This window comes from Homo sapiens, chromosome 1 (genome assembly GCF_000001405.40).
Source record: "Homo sapiens chromosome 1, GRCh38.p14 Primary Assembly".
NCBI classification, from domain to species: domain Eukaryota; kingdom Metazoa; phylum Chordata; class Mammalia; order Primates; family Hominidae; genus Homo; species Homo sapiens.
This window is the reverse complement of record NC_000001.11, coordinates 197592958-197616202: the sequence shown is the minus strand read 5'-3', so window position 1 is coordinate 197616202 and position 23245 is coordinate 197592958. Positions and strand designations below refer to the sequence as shown.

The following is a 23245-nucleotide window of genomic DNA, read 5'->3' as shown; positions in this document are numbered from 1 at the left end:
AATATATTGATATATGATTTTACATAATATATCTTTAGAATTACGTTTTATATATGATGTTAGTGCCATCTTAATTTTTCTATTAAAATGTTCTAACCTCTTAAGAGATAACACACCTTTAATTAAGTTCAATTATCTGTAATGAATTACACATTTAAGACTTTCTAAAATGTTATTTAGAAATTATTATATGACACAGGCAGTTCTGTACTAATTTTTTTCCAGATCTTTTCTAATCGTTTCTACCCCTGCCATAAAATTCAATGAAGTAAGCTTGTTTCATATTTCAGTCCCTGGAATTTTCTTTCTAGTGTCTAATGTCTGAAATAGCCTTTGGGTTGAGTTCTAAGAGCTTGCATGCCAAAAACCTCCCTGGTTCAAAGAGTAAGTCAGTGATATTCAAACAAGAAGTTATCTGAAACTTCCTGAACCTTAAGGTCACAATGATAGGCTCAGCTTCTATCATAGGAACGGAGTAATATAATATAATTATTTTTTTAAAGAATAGCCATCAGAAAACTTGGTAAACTAAACTGTTTCCTAGGGTAAACAGTTTTCTTCCATTTCCATCCTTGAGGTTAAAAAATCATACTGATCTACATGTAAAAGGGAAAAAAATTACAGATCATCCCTTCAATCTCATAGTTTTGATTAAATACTTTTTATGAATATTCCAGTTCAAAAATAGTGTCATGAAGATTTGATAGGAAAAGATATATCTTTGCTAACTCTTTGGCACGATTGGAACTTTCTGAATCCTGAGGTAATCCTACCTCCATAAAGTATTTCTGTTTTTGCAACTGGTAGCTCTGGTGTGGGTTGGACTGTGGAGAGCCGTAATGCCATCTTGTGACCATGGATGGATATCGCATCTTGGTCCACCAATAAAGCCTTGCTACTTTGTTGATTCATTCATCCATTCACTTGTTCATTAAACACTTAGTGACCATCTATTAATATTTGCCAAGCTGTGAGTGTGTAATGTAATGAATAAGATTTAGTTTATGCCATTGCAAGATTCACAGATAGCAAGAAATACACACATACTTACATGTGCACACATGCACACACACAGCACAGTGTAATACTGCAATACTATAAGTATTACAGAATAGGCATACAAAGGACCATGGATGGCAACACATAAGAAGAAGTGGCCTACAGTCCCTGGTAGCTTAGGGAAGGTGCCTGGGAGGAAATGACACCATCTGCATTTTCCCCTAATCAGCCAATGTAAGAGTACTTTAATGTGGCAAGTCTATGATGTTGCAAGACAGTCTTAACCTATCTAAGTCCATAAACACATGGCAGGTAGTGTGACTGTAGGACTAGTAAAATTGTAATTATCTATCATTTGTTCATGAATGGTTGAGTCACTATTTAGGCTATATGACTCTTCTTTTTATGAAAGGAGCAGATTTAGCTTCTGAGAGAATAGGTATTTTTTTTCTTTAAAAAAATGGAAAATTGTATTCTTTAGACTACCCCAATAGACTGCTGTTATAGTCTGTGTCATGAGTGGTCTCTTTGTATGAAAACCTAAAAAGAAAAAAAAAGCTATTCTTAAGTACAGGTGAATTGCTACCAAAAAGAAGCAGCAATCATATGGAGGCTTCTGTATCCTATCTTTGCAAAATAACTTCATTGAAAGAAAGATTTAGGACAGTTTTTCACATAGAGGACAAAACATCTGTGTTGCCAAGAATCTCTTCTTGGCTTGTTAATGCCCTTATCTAATTAGGAAATTTAAGGCTAGGTTTGCAAAGTTACTTTTCATGAGATTTGGGTGATTTCATATTAGGATTACACAATCCAGTTTTTGTGAGAAAGAAACAACTATTCACTCTATATTCTGCAAAATGTAATTATTTTAGGAAATTAGTCTCTAGGTTAATAATGTTTACAGTTCTAACATCTGTGTTTTAGATTTTGTGAGAAATTGGTGAGAAGAGAACATGTGGAGATAACAAGTGATCCCATTTTAAAAGTTTCAAGTTATTATATGATTAAATTTTGCATACAAGCTTTTTAATGAATATTTTTATGTCAGCTTAACAATTTTTATCAATGTGTTTTTTATACTTCTGAAGATAAGTATATCTTCCATAAAGTTTAAAATGTTTTTGCCTGGGCGAAAGAGCGAGACTCCGTCTCAAAAAAAAAAAAAAAAAGTTTTCCTAGATGTATTCAGTAGGTTATTTAGCAGTCTGTTTCTGATTTTAAGAAAATCTGACCCACCCATTTATCCCACCAACATTTGTAAAATGGACTTAGTAATTATTGTTTTTAGAAGGCTTACCTATTTTAAAACTCTTTCATTAAAATGTACTTTGAAATTTCAGACAGCATGGGCTTTTCTGTATTATAAATCTTGTGAATAGAATAAACTAACCTGAGGTTAATTGGAAGTTTACACAGTGACTTTAATAATTTTATGCTATTTTGAACATAGGCAGGGCTTGAGATATTTAAGATTATGGCCTAACTTCATTTTGTTAAAGGTATCAAAACCTTGTTGTGGAAGCCTAGATTTGTTAGTGATATGCATTTTATGTCTTCTTCTCTGGAGACCTAGAAGGAATACAGGGATGAGAACTTGAATTAGGGAAGTAGTGGAACAGTACACATTTGTTCCTCCTGTTTCCTTTTGAAGGTAGAAAATCTGTTAGGTCTTAAGGATATCAAGGCCTATAAACAGTTTTCAACTTTCAGCCAAGTGAAGTATCCAGAATATCAGATCAATTCCAGATGGTCTCTTGCATTCAAATTAAAAAAAAAATAGGAAGGAACAAAGCTACAAAGGGCAAAGACAACTGGGAATTAGAATCTAGTACAATAAGAAGTAATGAACTAGAATGTACAGGCTAACGAGGAGTAAAATAAGAACTTTAACACTTATTTTGTAAATTCTGGATATATAGATTGGTGGTTAGCCATCTTTAAATAAATTTGGAACTTTTTAAGGTTACTTTGAAATCTCTGGGTCTGTCAGGGTGGCTGTGTAATCTATTGCTGGTTCTCAGTAGCAAAGTGAACACACAGAAATTTGGACAGCTCTGTTCTAATAATGACAATGATGTTTAGAAAATTATGCAAATCTTTTGAGAAAGAGGATTATCTGTTTGCATTAACAGAAAAAGAGTGTCATAATAGAGCACAAAGATGCCTATAAAAGAATTGCCAAAAATGTTTTATTTTAAAATAGCTATTTATTCATATATCTGCTATTGACTTCGTAGATATCTGTCAATTCTCATGTTTTTCTGTTAGATAATATTTTAGGTTTGAAATGTCAAGTTGAATAATTTTCTTCTTGTATTTCGTGAGAAGTATTTCTGAAATAACCAGCAATTCTTATTCTGTGTATTAAAAATTTAACATCTATATTTTTTGCAAGAGTATAAAATCCATAGGGAATATATTCAGTTTATATTGTCTATTATTGTTCCCAAGTTTCTACCCTAAGGCCTGGCACCTGCTATGCTCCAAATATCATGTGTTGAATTAATTAATTCAAGATTATTCTCACACTTGAGTATTTTTAAATTTATTAAAATTATTAATAAAAGTGAAAGTTGGATAAATCTGAATTTATAAAATTAGGTAAATAAAAGACAATGTACATGAGGGGAAAGATAGCACAGTAGGTGAGGAAGTTGTTTCCTTTTGTACATCCAGTTCCAGAACAGTGTCTGACAAACAATAAGTCTTGATAGATATTTGCAGACTGACCCTCTGATCCAAATATTTGGTGACATAGGAGGTATGTATCAATGAATATATATATTAAGAATATCATAGAAATAAGAATTTAATTGAATAGGAAAAGATGTGCAAAACGGATGTTAATAAATTTGATGATTATTTAAGATATATTTGCTATGAGGTATACGGAAAAGATTCAATTCAGACTATGGCCTAGACCTGGATATTCTTCTTAAGGTAAAAACAAACCAACAAACAAACTTTTTAGGCATTATAACTCTTGATTAAATTATAAATGATTTTATGATGTTTATAAAAAGCAATCTTAATTTTAAATATATTAATGGCCTCTAAGATTAAATTTGAGCTTTATATATTGAATAATTTTGAATATCTATAATGTGTTATGCTGGAACTGAGCATTTAATACATTTAATTTTTAATCATTTTGAATTACTTATACTGTTGTTTCAGTTTTAATGAACTATATGAATCTATGCATATATATATTTTTAATTTAGTGCCCCAATGCCATACCTGATTGGAATACACTCCAGCCTCATAGAGGTGAGTATCTTTCAGACATGAGACAGTGATAAAATTAACTCATAAAATAATAGTTAAAACAGTTTTGTTTTGAAGAAATATCAGTGGTATAGGACAAAGAAGTGACTAGTTTCATATTTAGAGTATGCTTATCATTTTTAAAAAGACAACATTGAAATAATTACATTTAAATTAACATACTAAATGACCATTTTTTATGGCATGAAATCCATAAAAATAGGTTATGTTTGGTAGAAATCATATGGTAAGTTTTAAATACTAAAACTTCAGTCCTTGATCAGTTGCCTTTTTTTATGGCAACTTGAGATCATTTATATCTCTTTTTCAGACCTATATTTTGAAAGTCACAATTTATGTACTTATGAGTCATGAAGTAAAATTTTTTATTTTGCAGACTTCATTATGTTCCCATTTATCAGTGTGTACATTTTAAATGTGGTTTTAATATACTAATCATGAACTTTAGAATATAGCCTTAAGTTTTAATTTTCAGTTCTGTTGGGGAATATAAAATTTAGTAATTTTTTTCCACAATTACCACATCATTTTAAAATTATTTTTGTCACTTAAGTTATTCCTATAGTGAAAGATCTTGAACTATTAACACCATGAACTTGAAATTAGTGAGATTTCCAGGAAGGTCTTGGTATAGGATCAGCATCTAATAAAATAAGCAAAAGGCTTTAATTAAAACAAAGTCTTGGGTCAATTGAGTGGTGTCATTATGCTAGATGCTATCAGTTTTATTCAGATAAATTTGTCTTTTTTTGCTGGTTGTACAGATTGTACTTTAACCCAGTTTCTAATAAGCAACCTAAATGAGTTAGCTTTGGTTTTCCTCTTGCCATCACTGTATACCCTCCATCAGTCCTTACTTTGATCAAAGATGAGTCTGTTGATATATTTTAAAACTCCTGAGGATCATATTGGGAAAGAGTCACGCCCCTTTAGGAGGTCCAGGTTGTGGATTCCGACCGGTACTCTAGGTTCCGGCATTTTTTCTTATCACAAAATGCTAGGGCAACATTTTTTATTTGTTTCAACAATAACAAAAAAAACATATTTAAATAAATATCTTTAGTAGGTTTGTTTGTAATATTGAAGTCTGAGTTGGATACCTTTATGACTCCTTATTTTTTATTCATTTCTAGAAAACTTATTCTTACATGCCAAGGTACTTTCAGTGAAAGGATAAATTACATAAAATAAAATATGAATGAGTAGGTACTTAATTTGTTATTAGATTGTGGAATATATGACTAGCATTTAATGTATCAGTAATTTGACTTCATTTAAAATCTAACCTTGGTTGGATTCTCTTCTAAAAAGTCATCAAATTTGATTTTTATATTAGTGTACTTGTCGCTTCTTAATGAATCTAATAGGATACATAATTTTTATAACATGTTTATTTATTTATAGAGATGAAAAATATTTAAAGTTGTTGGTTACCTGTTGATGTTAATTTTTTTTTTGCATAATGATTCTACATCAACTTTTAAAGCAAATGATTCAGCGTTTCCAAAATACTGTATAAAAGGGTATATATTTTAAACATTCAATTTAATTTATCATATATTCTTGGATACCTATAAATAAAACCAATACTGTTTTTAAGTAGCAAATTTAAGAATTATTTGCTCCTTAAAAAGTGTTGTCTTAGAGAATAATCCATTCTAACTTTAAATTGGCTCTTATTATTAAATGAGAATATTTGAAGCCATTATTAGACTGGTTGAAATCTCTGTATTTTTCATACTCTGGACTTATCTAAGTGTCTTAATAGTCAGCCTTATTTTATTTAATTGGTTTATTAGTGAATGAGAAGCTATACTGGGGACTTCAGGAATTCTTTTAAAACAATTGGATATCATTCAGCAACTTTCTTGTTAATCTATTACAAGATGATGTAAATCCTGCAAATTTCATTCTTGTTATGCCACTATTAGGCGGATTTTTTCACTAAAATTTCTAGCTTTTATGCTTTTTAATTTTACCAAAATGGTCTCATAATTAAAATATTGATACAGCTATTTACATATTTAGTATGTAAGACTGAACTGAGTAAATGTTTGCATTTTGCCTGGCAATTACAACCAATTTTTTCTTTAAGGAATAATTAAAATATTTTCTTATTCCCTCTCTCTTGGTCAAGAGAGTTTCAACACATTTTATTGTGTTATTAGGTTGGTGCAAAATCAATTGCGGTTTTTGCTATTTTTTTTTTTAATGGCGAAAACTGCAGTTAATTTTGCACCAACCTAATGTAACAACTTCTAAATGTAGTTGTTCAAAGTCATGAAATTCATATCCCTTAACATCTTTCTTTCAGTTGTTTTAATGAAATTATGAGTAAAGGATGGCCAGATCTTTTTAAAATACAAATTTCCTTCTAAAATAAAGGCTAAAGACATTTTGTTCTGCCTGAAAACTAGACTTTGGGGATGAACTCAAGGCAGACTAAAGCCTGCAGGTCATTAGGAATAAATTAGTAAAGGCTACAAATGTGAGGATTATCTTGTTTGTTTTAATATACAATGGATTCTAAATAAAATGTTGACCCAGGTTTATAAGATCATGTGATTGCTGCCACTATGTCATTTCTTTGTATTAATGTGCAAAAGTACCTTTGTAGCCATATTGTATGGAAAAGTTAAACATAGAGGGTGTGAGAAAGACTTCACTAACTTCACCACCTTACAGTTGTTCTTAATAAGCATTTCAGTCTATGTCTAATATTATTTTCTTATTTTTGAAGAAAAAGATAATTTTTTAAATTTTCTTAATTTTGTATCTCATAACTTTATGAGATGTAACAGTGAGACACAGAAGGAGGTACCATTTTATATACCACATGACTTCCAATGCCTATTTAGAAAAAAAAAATAGCTGAAGTCTAATTTGGAGGGAAAAAATAGATGAAATAGTGATACTAATCCAAATTTAAAAAAATTTGTTACACTCTATTTTTTCCTTTTTTGTTAATGTATTAATAGAATTATTTTCATATTAGGGAATCTCAGTTTATTAATTTGAAATGAATATATTTTTCTATTCTTTTTCGAGTGGTCCCTTAAATAAAATTTAATATTCAGCAATTACCAGATTTTTAAAACTAAGAGCAGTTTTGAAAAAATTGTACATGTCATAGTAGTACCAATTTCCTTGTTCTGAGTTGAGTGATAATGTCCTCACGAAACACTTTGGGGGCACATAGCTTTATCTTAGGCTATTTACAGACTAACTCATTTTATCCCTTAACAAATACATCAGGTTTATTAGATTATCTTTATAGTTTCTGTCATAAAATGACAACTTAAAGTTGAAGATGAAAATCAAAATTATGACATGTTTTTTCACACAAATGCAATTAACATAATTTATATTTTTACTTATAAAATAGGTTACTGTAGTTATACTATAGTTACTTTATAGGTAACTACACATATATGTATTTAAAGCTTTTTGCATATATGTGAAAAGAAAAGGAAATAAGTGTATTTGTAAATATTTTTGCAGTAGTATCACTATAAGTGATTCGCTGCTAATATCTTAGAAATGGCCATCTTTTAAGTCTTTATAATAAAGAAGACAGATTTTTAGAATCATCTGTCCTCACTGTAGACATTATGCCTTTCTTAACATGTGGAAATTCTCTGCTTTAGACTACCATTGCTTTAGAAAGTTTAACATTCTAATATGCAGAGATTTGAAATTGTAAATGAATCAGAGAAATTTTAATTATGACCAACTTAGAATAACCAGTTTGGCCAATTTAAAATATAAGGTAATAATAAGATTTTAAGTGACAGTTTTCAAAAATGACTATTATTGTAGACCACCACTTAAAAAATACTACACTCAAATTATTAACCTATTGCTAGTTGACTTATACAATTATGAAATTCAGAGTTCATGAATGTATTTAATTAATGAGCACTTATTAAGGAATAATACTATTTGTTACAAATTAAATAAGACTAATAAAATTATATGAATTAAGTATACCTATTAGTTTAAGTAGGAAAAATGAACCATAAGTATTTTCTTTAAGGATGAAAACTATGATAAAATTCTTATTTACTATTATTTGTAGACATATTGAGATAATTTGACTATTTTGATTAAACTTTCAAACAAATGGGACAAGTCAAGATAGTCTGATAGGCTATTAAATTTGGTACCTTCTGTTGAAATTCATGTGAGAAATATTACTAACAATAAATTCCATATTGCTATCCTTTTATTCTCTCTTATTCAGCTTTCAGTCCTCATCACCAACATATACCTTTTTGTATAGAATATAGACAAAAAATTTAAATTATAGTTTAATGCTGTAGTCATAGTTATTGGTTTATGTTATCCTTGCAATATGCTTTATGCTAAACATAGGTATAGAGCTGGCCATGAATTCTTGTTTCATGGGACTGAACTTAAATGGGTAAATTTTAAAGAATATAATTTGTTTACAGTTTGATATAACTGTGCCTATTTTATAAGAATTTTTGTTGTAGTTATGTTTAATATAAGATGAGGAAATATTCAATTTTAAGCATTTTTACTAAATCTTTTCGTATGAGTTGTAGTCAGACTTTCTCAGGAGGCAAAGTTGTTTCTATCCTTTCATAATATAGGATTTTCCTTTTTTCTTTTCCCAAGCCTAATGCATTAAGATAATGTTTTCTGTTTCCAAACTCATCATAACTTTGTAAAGTAAATATACTGATTTGTATTCATAATTGTGTTTTTTTTATAGAGAGTGAAAAACAAATCATTGGAAGATGTTGTTATGTTAAATGTTGATACAAACACATTAGAATCACCATTTAGTGACTTGAACAACCTACCAAGTGATGTGGTAAGTATGAAGGCTATTCAGTGGTGAACATATATGTTTTCTCCTGGACCTCTGAATTACTAAGTTATTTTTCCCACTTTTAATATCTGAAATAAAAGGGTTGGGTATTTGCATGGGGTGTGAGAGAAATCAATGTTGATTCTATATTTAATATTTTTACCTTTTAGCAGTTGAGATTTTGAATGGAACATCATATTCCTTATTGTAAAAGTAAGATCATAATTAAAAAGCTAGATGCATTCATTAGGCAGAGTTTCTTTAAACCTAAGTCTCTTCATCTCATCTTAATCATTATATTACAAAGTAGGCATTTCTGTCTGCCTAGTGGCATGTCTTGCAAAAGAATGAGAGAGTTTTTGAAGGCAAGAAGAAGAAGGGGGCCAATTATCGGCTTTTGCTTCCCTGCCACCTGCCAGCGCTTTTCCTTTTAATTAATGATCTGATGTTACTGGTCAATATAATAAGAAATGCTTGTACAGTTGGGGTCAGAAAATTCTGGCTTTGATCTCCCTCAACTTTCTGAAACATTTATTTGTTTTCTCTAAATTATTTCAGTTTTATTTTAATCTTTTCTATCCTGCTGAGGGCTGCAAGAATGAAAACCTACACTGTTTGTCATTTGCTTTGGCAGAGCAAAGACTGCTTACTTAGAATTCTATTTGTAAATTAAACTGCAAACCCAGTTTGTCATAAAAGACATCTGATCCTTTTGAAATGACGAAAACTGTCTTTTGTCTGTAAAGGCTGATAAATTAAGTGCCAGTTCTCTTCTGGTCTTTGATCTTGCGGAGGGTTGTGTGTGTGTGTGCGTGTGTCTGCAGCTTATAATGGGACATATTCTGTATGTCACGTTAAATAGTCTCCAAAAGTGCATTATTTTTGGCCTTCATATTCCTTAGTACAGGACAAAAATGCAAACTAGTACTGTTTCTGTATATATTTTAATGGCTACTTAAAAATATCTTTATAACATAGTTCTAAGTTAAAATAACTTCCTTTTTAAAAAAACAAAGCATTTATTCTTTATATGGATATTAAAATTTGGGAATAAAAATGCCTTCAGAGCATATTTTTCTGTAATATTGAACTACTTTGAAATCCATTATTAAGGAGTTTGAGAAAGTGAATTTAAAAATCCTAAACTCAAAAATACACTAATACCAGCCTTGATTGTCCTTCTGTCTAATGATAGGAAAAATATGATTTTAAAGTCAAAATCAGATTATTTATGCCCATAATACCGTAAAATACTTGCTGACCTTGAGACATATTAAAATTCAACTACCTTATCTTACTGTAGTAAAACTTATGCTATGAATGTACAAATCTAATCCTAGGCCAGTGAAAAATTACATCTTTTTAGCTCATTATAACTAGATTACCTCATTATAAAATTTTTGCAAAAACAAAATCACAAAGAAATTATTAGAGTTACTCATTTAAAAACTAATCAAAGTATTATTCAATGGATAGAGAAATAATTATGAAAATAGAATCCCAACTTTTAAGAATGCTTTCCTTATATGCATGTACTTCCTACCGTTAATGCCTTAGGGAGAAAGATTGTTAAAAAGAGAAAGAAGAAAAAAAAGAGAAAGAAATTCAGCTTTTCTGTACGTGATATTAAAATTTTTATAGGCAGCTTCAATCAATGATAGATGATTCTTGAAAAAATAATCTTTGAAATTTTATTTTTTTGATGGGTGATTCTTTTTTAAATTGAAAAGTACTACTTTCCTAGTAGAATTAGTTTGATGATTAGAACATTTATTTAAATATATGGAGAAGTTAAATAATATTTCACACATGTAAGTATTTAAATATATGGAGAAGTAAATAATATTCACACATGTAAAGGCCTGAATATATAAAATGACAGAAGAGACTATCTTGTTATTTACTCATAAATGACAATATAAACATAACTGAAATATTTAAAAATATAGATAAAAATTATACTGAAAGGTGGTGTAGATTGATTAACTAAATATATGCTTGAAATTCAGGGACACAGACTTATAAAGAAATTTAAAGAATAGACAAATAAAAATAGTTCTGAGATGGAGCTAGGACCATTTACTGAAAGTGTGAGATGGTTTAAAGTTATAGTAATTTTCTAAAAATTTTTTGGGTGATTTTTAGAACCCATTTCTAATAAATATAGCTTTTTCATCAGTTTTCTAAAGTTATCTCTTACAATTTTGGTGGAAATAGGATGAAGCATCACATCATATTTTAGAAGCTCCCCTGCCCCACTAGACAGAACAGGACAATTGTAAATGTCTTAAATGAGTTGTGTTAAAATCACAAATGATCTTACTAAAATTTTTTGTGTGTGATTTAAATTGATAAAATATACTTGAAACCTGAAAAATGTTACTATTAGTATTGTTTGATTGTTTAATAGGTTAACTGAGATTTAATTGGGGGGGGTCCTTTTAAAATCCTTCACCAAAGCATTTAAATTATACTTACAGGCTGGTTGACTTTCTATGCATGTGTACTCTATTATTGTGTCAGATTGACCAGTGGTCTTGGCTGTTCAAAGGTCAGTGGTCACAGTTGTCCTGAATTACTAGTTCTTTTTTCCTGTGGACCCTCTGCTGTGTTGCATGCTGTAATCTTCTTAATGGCTTCATTCCAATATTCACACATAATATTTTAGATTTATTGACTGTTAGAAATACTACCATGCCAGTAGCAGTTCCGCTACTCTTAAGGTATTTAAAATTGGAAAAATAAATCAGGGCAAAGCTTTCAGGATTCCTTTGTTTTCGTTAAGGGAGGGGGAAAACCTCTTTTCCTGTCTTCTGACAAGAACACTTGTTTTTTGATTTCATCATTTCACTATAGATTTGGATCATTAAAAGAAAAAAAAACATATTTTATTGGGAGTGATTTTAATGATATTGATTATTACATGGAATAACTTTTAAAGGCAGTAGATCCAATAAAATATACTCTTGTAGTTTTTGTCTATTAATATATTGTGACTTTATTTTTTAGTGGCTGTGCCAAATAGACACCTTCAAACATCTGTAGTATAGTTTGAATGTTTTGAAATAAAAAAAAGTAAATGTTAGGACTCAGTTACAGCATCAATCACAGTTAGTGTTATTGTAGTATGTTTATAAGGGTGAGAAAAAGAACCAATTGAATTAAATATAACATTTGAAATCTCAAATGACTTGATTTTAATTTATGAAAATGCAGTATTAAAACCTCCTATTCCAAATCTATATAGAATTTAGTTTTAATTGCATAATAATTTAAAATATATTTCTGAGATATTCCTGCTCATTTTAATTTTTATCATTAACGTTTTAAAAAAGCAATTTGGAGGTTGTTACTATTTCAAATATAAATAGAATTACTCTCTTACTAGGAATTAAGCTAATAATTAGAATTATAATATTTAGGAATTCTCTCATATGAATATTAAACAATTGTAAATTCCTATAGATGAAAGCACATTAGAATTGACATCTGAAAAGGTTACATGTATTAGAATATTCATTACAACAGGCAAGTTTTTTTTTACCTGTATTGCTTAACGGTCTCTAATAATTTAAACTTATTAGATTGTAAGAATAGTAATAATATTGATAGGTCAATATGCTATTCCTATTTTAGATAAGAAAATCAAGGCACAGAAAGTATACTGTTAATGGTATATCTATAGATTCAGTTCATAGAGGTTGATCCTCAGGCCTGTGCCCGAAACAGTAGACCATGGTCCCTTTCATATAAATGTGATATACAATGTAATGAATAACTCATTTAAAATATATTATAGAAGCTTACTTGCCACTTAAACTTGTTAAAGAAATATCAGTTTGATCCATTTGATTTAAATTAGGATTTTCAGCACTATTTTTAAAACTTCATTTTCATCTTAAATATAATACTATTGGAAAATGATTTTCTGTTTTCTACTATGAGGGTGTATAGAAAATATGGTACACTTAAGAGTTATTGTACAAGTCACTGTAGACCACTGTATGTTACAGGATAGCTATATTTTGTATGAAGCATATTTAATTACTAAAACGTTGAAAAGACCTTATTATAATGATGCTATCTAAAATATCATACATATTATGGTGAAGCTTTCAGGAATCATAAGAAGGAGTGCATTAAGTGGTTTTATTGTGATAAAAAAAGGAAAGACACAAATTGCTCTGAATCACCAAAAATCATTAAGAGCATGTAAGAACTGGAGAAAACCTCTAAAATTCTGATATCAAATATTTGAATATCTACATTCAAGTGAATTTATTAATTTGGGGATAAGTTTGAGAGAATTAGTTTTTTCAGGGAATTCTAAAATAAACTTTTCAAAAAATATTAAGTTATGTAAGCAAATTAAACTCTTAGAACCACACAGATTGTCAATGGATATGTTTAATTCATTGAATATTTCCTGTAATCTAACATGAAGGTTTAACATGTTAAATTGTCATAATATATGTTATAAAGAAAAAAAAGGGCCCCAGAGAATATTATATTAGTTCCAGGTTTGCCACAGTTCTGCTGTAATCTTTATTGTGTTTAATGGTAAATGAAGTCCCTAACAAATTTCTAGGGTGGTCAGGTTAGAAAGATTCATTCAGCTTCTAGAGTAACTTGGAGAACATTTTATTACTTCAGGAGACAAATATTGCTTTCAGTTTGCCCTTGGAAAAGTATAGTCATGCTTTTTCTCCTCTCAGTCTTCAATTGTTAGAACTCAGGCATCTAGGTGTACCTTGCCTCCACCACACAGCCTTGGTACTGTGCTTTGTAAATAGGCATTCAATAAGTGATTGCTGAAAGGAAATATAATTACACTTCTTTTATCTTTTGTAATAGAAACTTGCTTTTAAAGTCTGTTTACAGTTACCTCCTAGAACATTTTATAAGGATATTTCCATTTGACTTTAATAAGAATAATGAAAATGAGAAACCTGGACGTATATATAAAGTATACTTTTTGACTATGAGCATAACCTTTTATTTCCTGTATTTAGAAAAAGAGACCATGTTGTGATGGCAATCATTGTGCTTCTGCATACCCAGCTGAATGTCTGTGGAAACTCAGCTATTCTTTTAAATAGTTATTATCAGAGATATAATTATTTACAAAGTAGTTTTTTTGTTTGTAGGTAAACTATTATAGATTTTGCTGTTCTCCCAACTGTTTTCTTGGTGTATATTTTGAAAATATAAACCTTAAATGTTAGAACAAAGAAAACAAAAGCAAAACCCGAAAACCTTAACTGTGCTTGTAAACATTTAAAATATTTTTGTTAGTTTCTCTCAATTGAGTAAGAGAACCTGGCTTTCCCACAGCAATGATCCAGGCTTTGGTAATACCCCCCTTTATGTCTCTGTACTTCTGCCATTCTAAAGTTGATTTATTGTTTGTTACTTTTAGTGATTTTAAGTGCTCAATGAAGTTCCTTGGCTTTCTCATGGCTTTTCATTTCCAACTAAATTACCTAGCCTTTCTTTTAATGTCTTCCTCCCATGCTTCTTTCTCTTGTTACTGCAGATATTTTTTTTTTCTAAAAAAGGTAAACCTTGATTTTGGCTGTTAAAATTATTTGCAATTTATTTCTGGTCCTTTAAATTCTTGATTTTTCCATATCCAAGCAACTTTTTGTGTGTAATATTGTGAGCACTGTCACAATAGCAGTTCCCAAACCTTGCCGATATCATAATGACCTGGTGACCTTTTAAATGAATTATGTTTCTGAGCACCATCACAGATACTTTGATTGAGTCAACTGGAGGAATAAATGTAGAATTGTGCATGGAACAGATTGTTAGATTTGTTCATTTATTCATTCAACAGGTATTTATCAAGTATCTACTATGTACACGCATTGTGCTAAGAACTGGGTATATAGTGGTGAACAAGCAAACATATACCCTGATTTCATAGAGTTTATGGTGTGTTAACACTCATCTAGTATTACAAATAGAGACAAATGTTATAAAAGAACAGGGTGCAGTTGGAGAGAATTACAGTGGTATCCTAATTTAGATTAAGGGTGAGATAGGTAGAGGCTGGACCTGTTGTAGCTCAGTGGCACGGGAAAAAAACCATGTGTGTCTCTGTGGTGCAGCAAGGCATTATCTTATGTGGTAGTGCATAAATTCTCGGGGGCTCAAGTGTTCTTCTCCAGCTTAATAGTAAAGGTTGCAAGCCTGAGGTTTCATTTTTCTTATGACGTGGCAGGAACCTGATGCTGTGCCAGTTGCACTGAGGATGGGATTTCAGGTGCACCAGTATGAGAAAGTATGGAAGCAGTTAGGAGCTTGGTCTATATTCTTATTTCATATCTCTCATATATCCTTTATACTGTTTGTTTATTATCCTTTATACTGTTTATTATCCTTTATACTGTTTGGTATATTTATTAGGGTACAAGCTAAGCTGCTATAACAGAAATACCTGAATACTCATTCTTAGATCAAAATAGAAATGTATTTCTCTATTGTATAACAATTAAGAGGTAAGTTTTCCAAAGATGTGGAACAACTCTGCCATCCTCAATACATAGCATCCAACTCTAGGTTTAAGGTATGCTCTTTGTCTACCTTGCCGTAGAGTAAAGAGGAGAATCCACAGAGGGGTATTCATATCCCTTTTAGGGACAGCCTGAAAATGTCATGTTCCTCAACTCACATTCCGTTTGTCTGAACCCAGCCATACGGATACAGCAAGTTCCAAGGGATGTTGGAAACTAGCTGAGTTAACCTAGTTTTGTTAAATATGCACCAGTCCAAACTTAAGATTTCCATTAGCAAAGAAAGGGAGAATAGATGTTGGTGGACTTAAAGCCATCTCTGCTGTAAGTAAACTGATAAGAAAATAATTTTAGCCAAACTGAGATGCCATTTTTACTAGTCCGCACTCTCAGATCAGCCTTTTGTGGTCCAGCCAAGCTCAGTGTATCAGGAACATCTTTCTGCAGAATTGGCCTCAATGATGATGAGTATGAGTAAGCCAGATGGGAGGAGGAAGAAGAGGGAGAGGAGAGATAACATATATAAAGGTTTTCCTGTGGGGAAGAGGTTGGTTAATTCAAGACCTATATAGCTGTAGTGAAATAAACAAAAGAATTATGCAAAATGAGATAGTAGAGATAGGCAGGGGCGATCATAAAAGATGTGTAGTTCTTGTTAAAGACCTTTGGATTTTATTGGAAATTCATTGTATACTTGTAGATGATGCCATATTCGTTAGGATTTGACAGGTACTTTAAACATACAATGAAACAATGTAATGATATGCTCTGTAGGTAAGTATATCATATGCTTTTCATTTAATAAATGTTAAAGGTTACTGTTTTAATCTTCGAATAGAGACTTGTTAGAAAATTATTAAGAGAGAAGTGTTAATTTTGCTTCTTAATAAACTGAACTTTAGAAAGGTTAAAAAAGTGTAGGGATTTAATATCTAATTCATGTGATAACTATAACATGATTCAAGGGAGAATAAAAGTTTTCAACTTTATAACTTTGTTCTACAGATGATTATTTGACACTTTAACTTTTCTAAATGTATGTAGTTTTTAGAGAGCAGTTTAGTTATATGAAAGGAAATATTTAAAAATATCTTAGGAGTGTTTTAGGTTGTGTAGATTATCTAAATATTATTTTGGAACACTTATTTTTATCTTCTCTTCTTTACCCTGATGCTTCTCTTTGTGATCATTAAAAGTAAAATAAAAATTTCTAGGTATAGCAGTTAATATATTTTTACTGCAAAAGCATATCTAGAAATCACATCTAAAAGTTAAGTAAAAGAAAAAATCTGTTACTTCTCAGAAAAACTCAACCCCCTTTTATGCTCTGCCTTCCTGGCTTACTGTCCTTTGGTATAATTACTTCATTACTTAGACTGAGTGCACATGGCTTGCACTCTTTTAACATGTACCTATTTGCTGTGTTTACTTATGTAATTCTGTCCTTTTATTCATAGTCACTTTAGTGCTAAGAGGGTAAAAGTGGGGAATTGGTGGTAATATTATTCATGCTGCAGTGAATTCCCAGCGTGCTAAAATCCAGGTTATAATTCTTCCCATGGATGGCTGCTTGGAGGTCTGAATTCTCACTGAAAGGAATTTAAAACATTTGATAAGAGCAATGAAATGATGCTTATTTCTGAATTTTCTTTTCATTGTTTAACTTTTCGTTTGTGATCTATCCTAATACTAAATTAGACTAAAAAATGTATTTACAGAGTGTAAAATCTCTAAAGACAATACAATAAAATGTCCTTTGTGAAGTAATTCTTAGCCATTGGAGGTTGAGGCTAGCTTGCTTTCTTAAGAATAAAAAGAGAAAACAATTGATACTTTTTCAGTATTAATAGGATTATGTGATAATAGCCATATGACTAAGGCTCCAAATGCTTTTCTGAATTCAGAGTTATGTGTGAGTATAAGCCTTAGGATTTCATGGGAAGAGATATATTTATTTCATAACTAAAGTTAGAAGTTTGGAAATTAAAGCAGAAAATGCTCTTTCCTAGACCAGGTATTAAAAAGTACAGGACAGACCCCATCATTTTTATAGATAAAAACTGCTAAAAGCTAATTAGCACTGCAAAGGGCATTGGTAACTGGTGATAATTTACTCCAGTGATGTAAAGACCAGAAACACAGCCAGGTTGATGCAATGATTTTATATTATATTAATATCCTTATATCTAAAACTGATTTTTAAAAAACAATTGTTTTCTTACAGACTATTTTTGAGCATTCATTTGCCCATGTAGAAACACTTAGCTGCCCTTCTGGTCTCTGAAAAACAGGAACAACTTCAGATGTACTGACAATTGAAGCCCACTAGAGTAGGTCAAGGAAAAATTATTTTTATGTAATTTGTAAAAGTTGAAATAATGTAGAAAGAGGCAAAGGAGAAATATAACTATATTTCTTGCCAGGCAATTTTAGTTTAAAATCTGTATGAAATTAGATAGTATACTCATGTAGAATAACATTGTCCAAAATAAAATGTGAGCCACATGTATGATTGTGTTTTCTTGTAGCCACATTAAATCATAAAAGAAATAGGTGAAATTAATGTTAACGATATATTTTATTTAACCCTATACCTAAATATTATTGCTTCCAAATATAATCAATATGAACATTATTGAGTTTTTTTTGTACTGAGTCTTCTAAATACAGTGTCTGTTTACTCTTACGGCAAATCTCAGTTGAGACAAGTCAAATATCAAGTGTGTATATGACTGATAGCTACCTTATTGGCCAGCATAGTTCTAGAACAGGTACATTCTTTTCCTATTTTCTACACATCCACAGGGATCTCAGGAGCTATCATTGACTAGTTTTGGAAGTGAAGGCTGCATATTTATGATTTGGTTTGGAATGGCTTGTGGCATTGTGTTTAATACTCCCTTATAACTCAGGCAACAATTATGCAGTCAAGGATCTGGTATAATAAAGGCTGAGGAATGGCTTGACTTGCCTGTATTCTTAGTGAGCATATGTGTTGTGATTGTCCAGAGAACATTGTGTTCTTGATTTGTGGAGAACTGAGTTGTGAATTTCATGTTTTATTTTTAAAAATACACATTAAGGAATTTTCTTTTGCAGAGATGTAAGGTGCATTTTAATTTTTTTTTATTTTCTAAAGTAAAAATCTTTTAAAAAAACTATTTATATATAATAATACTTTAAAAAGACTGGAATCATATTCCTTACATCGTAATCTTTTTTGGGGGTGGAGGTAGTAATTAAATACGTATATTGATATGCACTCCCATTGCTATTGAAGGCATTTGAAACTTAAAAGTAGCATTAGAAGTTTCAGAATAAAGGACATTAATTTAGATTTATTTTTGTAATTATTATTGTTTGAATATGTGGGTTACCAAAAAATATGCATTTATTGAGATTAGATTTTAATAATAAAAATCCCTCTTAAATGAATCCTGATTTATGCACTTTGTGGGCTAAATGAATTAGGCTCTCAATTTTTATCTGAATCTATGGAGCTTGGATATAAATTGAAAAGATCACAGCTATGGGGAGAAGACCTACACTGCAAAGGCCTTTCTGCATAGATTATGAACATAACTCAATAATTTTTTCGAAACTGTGGTTATAATTGGACCCAATGGGGGTCTGTTTCTTTGATCAGATCACAGTAACTGTGACTTTACACTGGAAAATGTCACTATTGTGAAGTTTTATCACCTGTAGAGCTGGTCTTTCCTCTGATGCTGTGTTCATTTCTCATTAGCATTATTCAAAGTTTAGTTGTTAATTAGGTTGACAGTTCAATTACAATCATATACAAGCAAAGTCAGGGCTACTTGCATAAAGAAATAAAAATAACCCTTCTTGCATAGATATATGTGTGCATGTGTATTTGTGTATATGTGTGCATGTGTTGTGTGTGTGTATATGTGTGCATGTGTATGTATGTGTGTATATGTTTGCATATATATGTATGCACATATATACCTAAAAAGGAGAAATGACTATTTTGTTATATGATAGTTTCATAAGGGTAAGAATATGCTCTGTTAAGTGAGCATTCTTTCCAAAATTTGTCGTACCAGTTTTTTTTCTAAATAAAACAGAATTGTTACACAACTTAATATGTTTCCATTTTAAGCATTGATGAATATATATGAGAACCAATATTTTTAAGTGAACAGAATATAGTTTTCTATTTTGTGTGAAAGGAATTGGTACAGTGAATTGGATGCATAGGAGCATTTTATATCTCCTCCTCCTTAAAAAATAAGAGTTTACATCAGGAGTATGATCTCACTTAAAATTCTGTTCATAAATAATATGCATTTTCTAAAATACATAGCACTTAAAAGATAGAAAAATGTATGAAAAATTAAAACAAACTTAAATATCTTTTAAAATTATGCACATTTTTAGGTAAGTTTTTCTTTGATTTGAAACATTAGTGTTTTAATCTGATTACCGGTTCATGAGGCAATGATACTGAATTCAAACCCACCATGTGGTAGTGGAAAAAACTGGACAGAACTAGGTTTAGATCCCAGCTTTGCCACTTATTGGCTACATAGTAAGGGCAAATGAATTCACATCTTTGTTCCTCTATTTCTTCATTCATAAATGGGAATATGAATGCTTTTCTTAGAAGACTGTGGTGAAGATTAAATGACACAATGTATAACATTTGCATAAAATTCTCCACTCATGGTATAATTTCAATAACTTTATCTCTTCTCCCCTCTTCTTTATCTCATAATGACAAAAACTATTCAACAAATGACTGGAAAATTATATATGCAAATGAGACTTCCAAAAATAAAATTAAATGGTAAGTGATCCTGGAGGACCTGTAACAAATAACCTTACATAGCAAAAACGAACAAAACCTAACCTGCTTCATCTCAAAACAAGTAGACACATGTTGTAATTGCTAGAAATCTGTAGAAATGTGGCTCACAAGCAGTTTATTGTAAAATAATTAAAGCTTATTTATGTCAAGAGGCCTTGGGAAAAAAAGAGAGCATAAACCAATTTGCATTAGCACGTTACTCTCCTCTCCTGCTTTCGTTTCAATTAACAGACCAGCAGGTGCTCTCTGCAGTTAAAAAGATAAGCTATCAGGGAGGAGGATGAATTTTTGGCTGACCTACAGACACTGTGGTTTGCCTGCTGATTGGGTTCCTACCTCGCTGTACCAATTTCTGAGGTGTTAATTTAACTGTTCCTCTCTGTCATGCAGGTCTCGGCCTTGAAAAATAAACTGAAGAAGCAGTCTACAGCTACGGGTGATGGAGTAGCTAGGGCCTTTCTTAGAGCACAGGCTGCTTTGTTTGGATCCTACAGAGATGCACTGAGATACAAACCTGTAAGCGTTTTGTTTCATCACTGTTTTAATTTGCTTTTTTATGGTTCTTTGGAATGAGACAGAAAAAAAGAGACATCATTTTAATATTACACCTTCAAAAAATATCATGGAAATCTTTTAAGATCCAAAATAATGTGTTTCAAAACATACATTTCATCTCCAATTTTTGACTTTTTATTTTTAGTTTTGTTTAGTACTCTTTCATTAGTATTTCCCAAAGTCTTTGTGTTACATTATTAATGCTCTAGGATTGGAATACTTACTCCTTAACTAATTAAAGACTTGTATTACTGTATTTTAAAACACTTACCTGATCTTGTTAAGATCATTAAGAAATTCACAAGACAATTGGGCTTATTAGATTAATGAGTTTAGAAATGACAGGTACAAAGTGATACTTAAGAAAAATAGAACTTGAAGGTTTTACAATATTTGGAAATTTGTTGTCTTCCTAATTCATGACCCTTTGCTAAGGTGGGTTTATCTCTTTAGCATATCTTAGCTCATTTTCTCATTCTTTCTGTTTTAATACCCTAATTATTATTGTGTAGAATTATAGCCAAGTTTTTAAGAGTATCCAAAAAGGTGCAAGTCAAAATACATTTGTTGCTCTCTCTGAATTGTTGGTTAGAGCATGTTAGGCTGATTTTACAGAAATTATTACACTATTCTTCCTTCACTGGGTGAATAAGTTGTAAGAGATAAAACCATTGATTTAGTAATAAGAAGACCTGCTATCTAATAGGAGTTGTTACTAAACTGCGTAACCTTGACCCATTTCCTTAGTCTCTCTAGATTTTGATCTTCATGTTTGTAAAATGAGAATTCTTATACCTTCCCCCTCTATCTTTCAGGATAACTCAGTTGTAACTCAGTTAAACTCAATTGTAAACTCTGAGGCACTAAGCAAATGTGAATGGGTTGTATCTTTTCTAAACTGACTTCTGAATTAGTGGTTCCCACTCAAGTGGTCCTTATAGCTCTAAAAGGTCATCTAATTATTGGAAGGATTCCTTAAATGCATGGGCAGATCCGCTGCTATTTTTATAAGTTCAGCTGCTTGTTTGTCTAGTTTACTTGCTAATCTTTTTGAGATATGTGTATATTTTTAAAGCATTATATAATTCATAGTACTATACAGAGTATACATATCTCACATGGGGGAGTCTTAAAAAGTTGTTCATAGTTATAAGGGTCTCATTCTTTAAAAGACTGGAAACCAATAATCTATACTACAGTAGGGCATATTCGTATTTGAATTGTTCAACATCAGTTAAAACATAAAAATGAGTTTGAAACACAAAATTGGTGATTGATTCTGGTTATGTCAAAGTTTGAAAATAGGGATTGATTTCAAGTTTACAGTATGGGAAGGAAAGTTAAAAATATCACTTTACTTGAATTTTGACATATTTAAGTACGTATTCATCTTTATAAACTAAACTTCATTTTTATTTTAAAATTTTTTGAGTACTTCAGATTTGAAGAAAGGAGCAAATCAAAGTGAGAACATTTTCTAAAATGATTTAAACTATCAGTTTGTTGGGTGCTGACTGAAATTAATAAAATATCCCATCTTTAATATTAGTTACTGTAGATTTCATTGTTTAATTTTCTCACCCTTTAAGCTTCATTGCACAGATAGGAGTATAAGATTTCAGTGACTTTTTAAAAAAAAATCTTGAAAGCCATATTGTTACTATCTGTGAAAAATGTTTAATTTTATCTTAGAGTATATTTCTTGTTTATTGATCACATTTTGTTATAAATTTATTTGTTTAGTTGCCTACATTTTTTTCTTTTTACATTTGGTATTTTCCTGTTTTCATTTCTGCTGCTAGTTTTTTTTTTTTTAGGAGTATTTTCATTTTCTATGCCTTTACATTTTTTCTGACTCAGTCTTTGAATGAAAGCTTCCTTTTTAATGTATACTGAATGCACTTAGATGATTATTTTCCATTTATTTTCACAAGAGATAGTTTTTAGGGAAAATGATTTATTTCTTTTTGTGCATAAACTATGCTTTTTCAACCATTATCTTTATACATTACTTGTATCATAATTTATTAAAAGTATATTAATGTTTTGTTTTATAATTCTTTTCGGTCATTGATATAATAGACCAATGTCTTCTCTCTTTACTTAGACCTTTTTTTAATATCAACCAAAAATATTTTATATCAATCAAATATATTTTGGTTGATATTTAAAAAAAGGGCTAAGTGCAGAGAGAAGTTTCAAAAACATATT

General features: G+C 30.5%; 1 protein-coding gene across 18 annotated transcripts in view; it reads left to right on the top strand.

The window, feature by feature from the left end:
- The window catches only part of DENND1B (DENN domain containing 1B), a 277403-nt gene that overhangs the window by 165948 nt on the left and 88210 nt on the right, over positions 1-23245 (top strand). For 16 of the 18 annotated variants that reach the window (NR_125340.2, XM_011509248.3, XM_047447711.1 and 13 more), the window contains 3 exons: positions 4227-4272; positions 9029-9130; positions 20870-20995. Coding sequence is in view for 17 of the 18 variants with exons in the window: in XM_011509248.3 (XP_011507550.1) it covers positions 4227-4272; positions 9029-9130; positions 20870-20995 (274 nt within the window). In the remaining variant the exon portion in view is untranslated. Of the gene's footprint in view, positions 1-4226; positions 4273-9028; positions 9131-9154; positions 20459-20869; positions 20996-23245 lie in introns of those variants that run through there. The other 2 variants (XM_047447715.1, XM_006711194.4) reach the window with 2 other exon arrangements.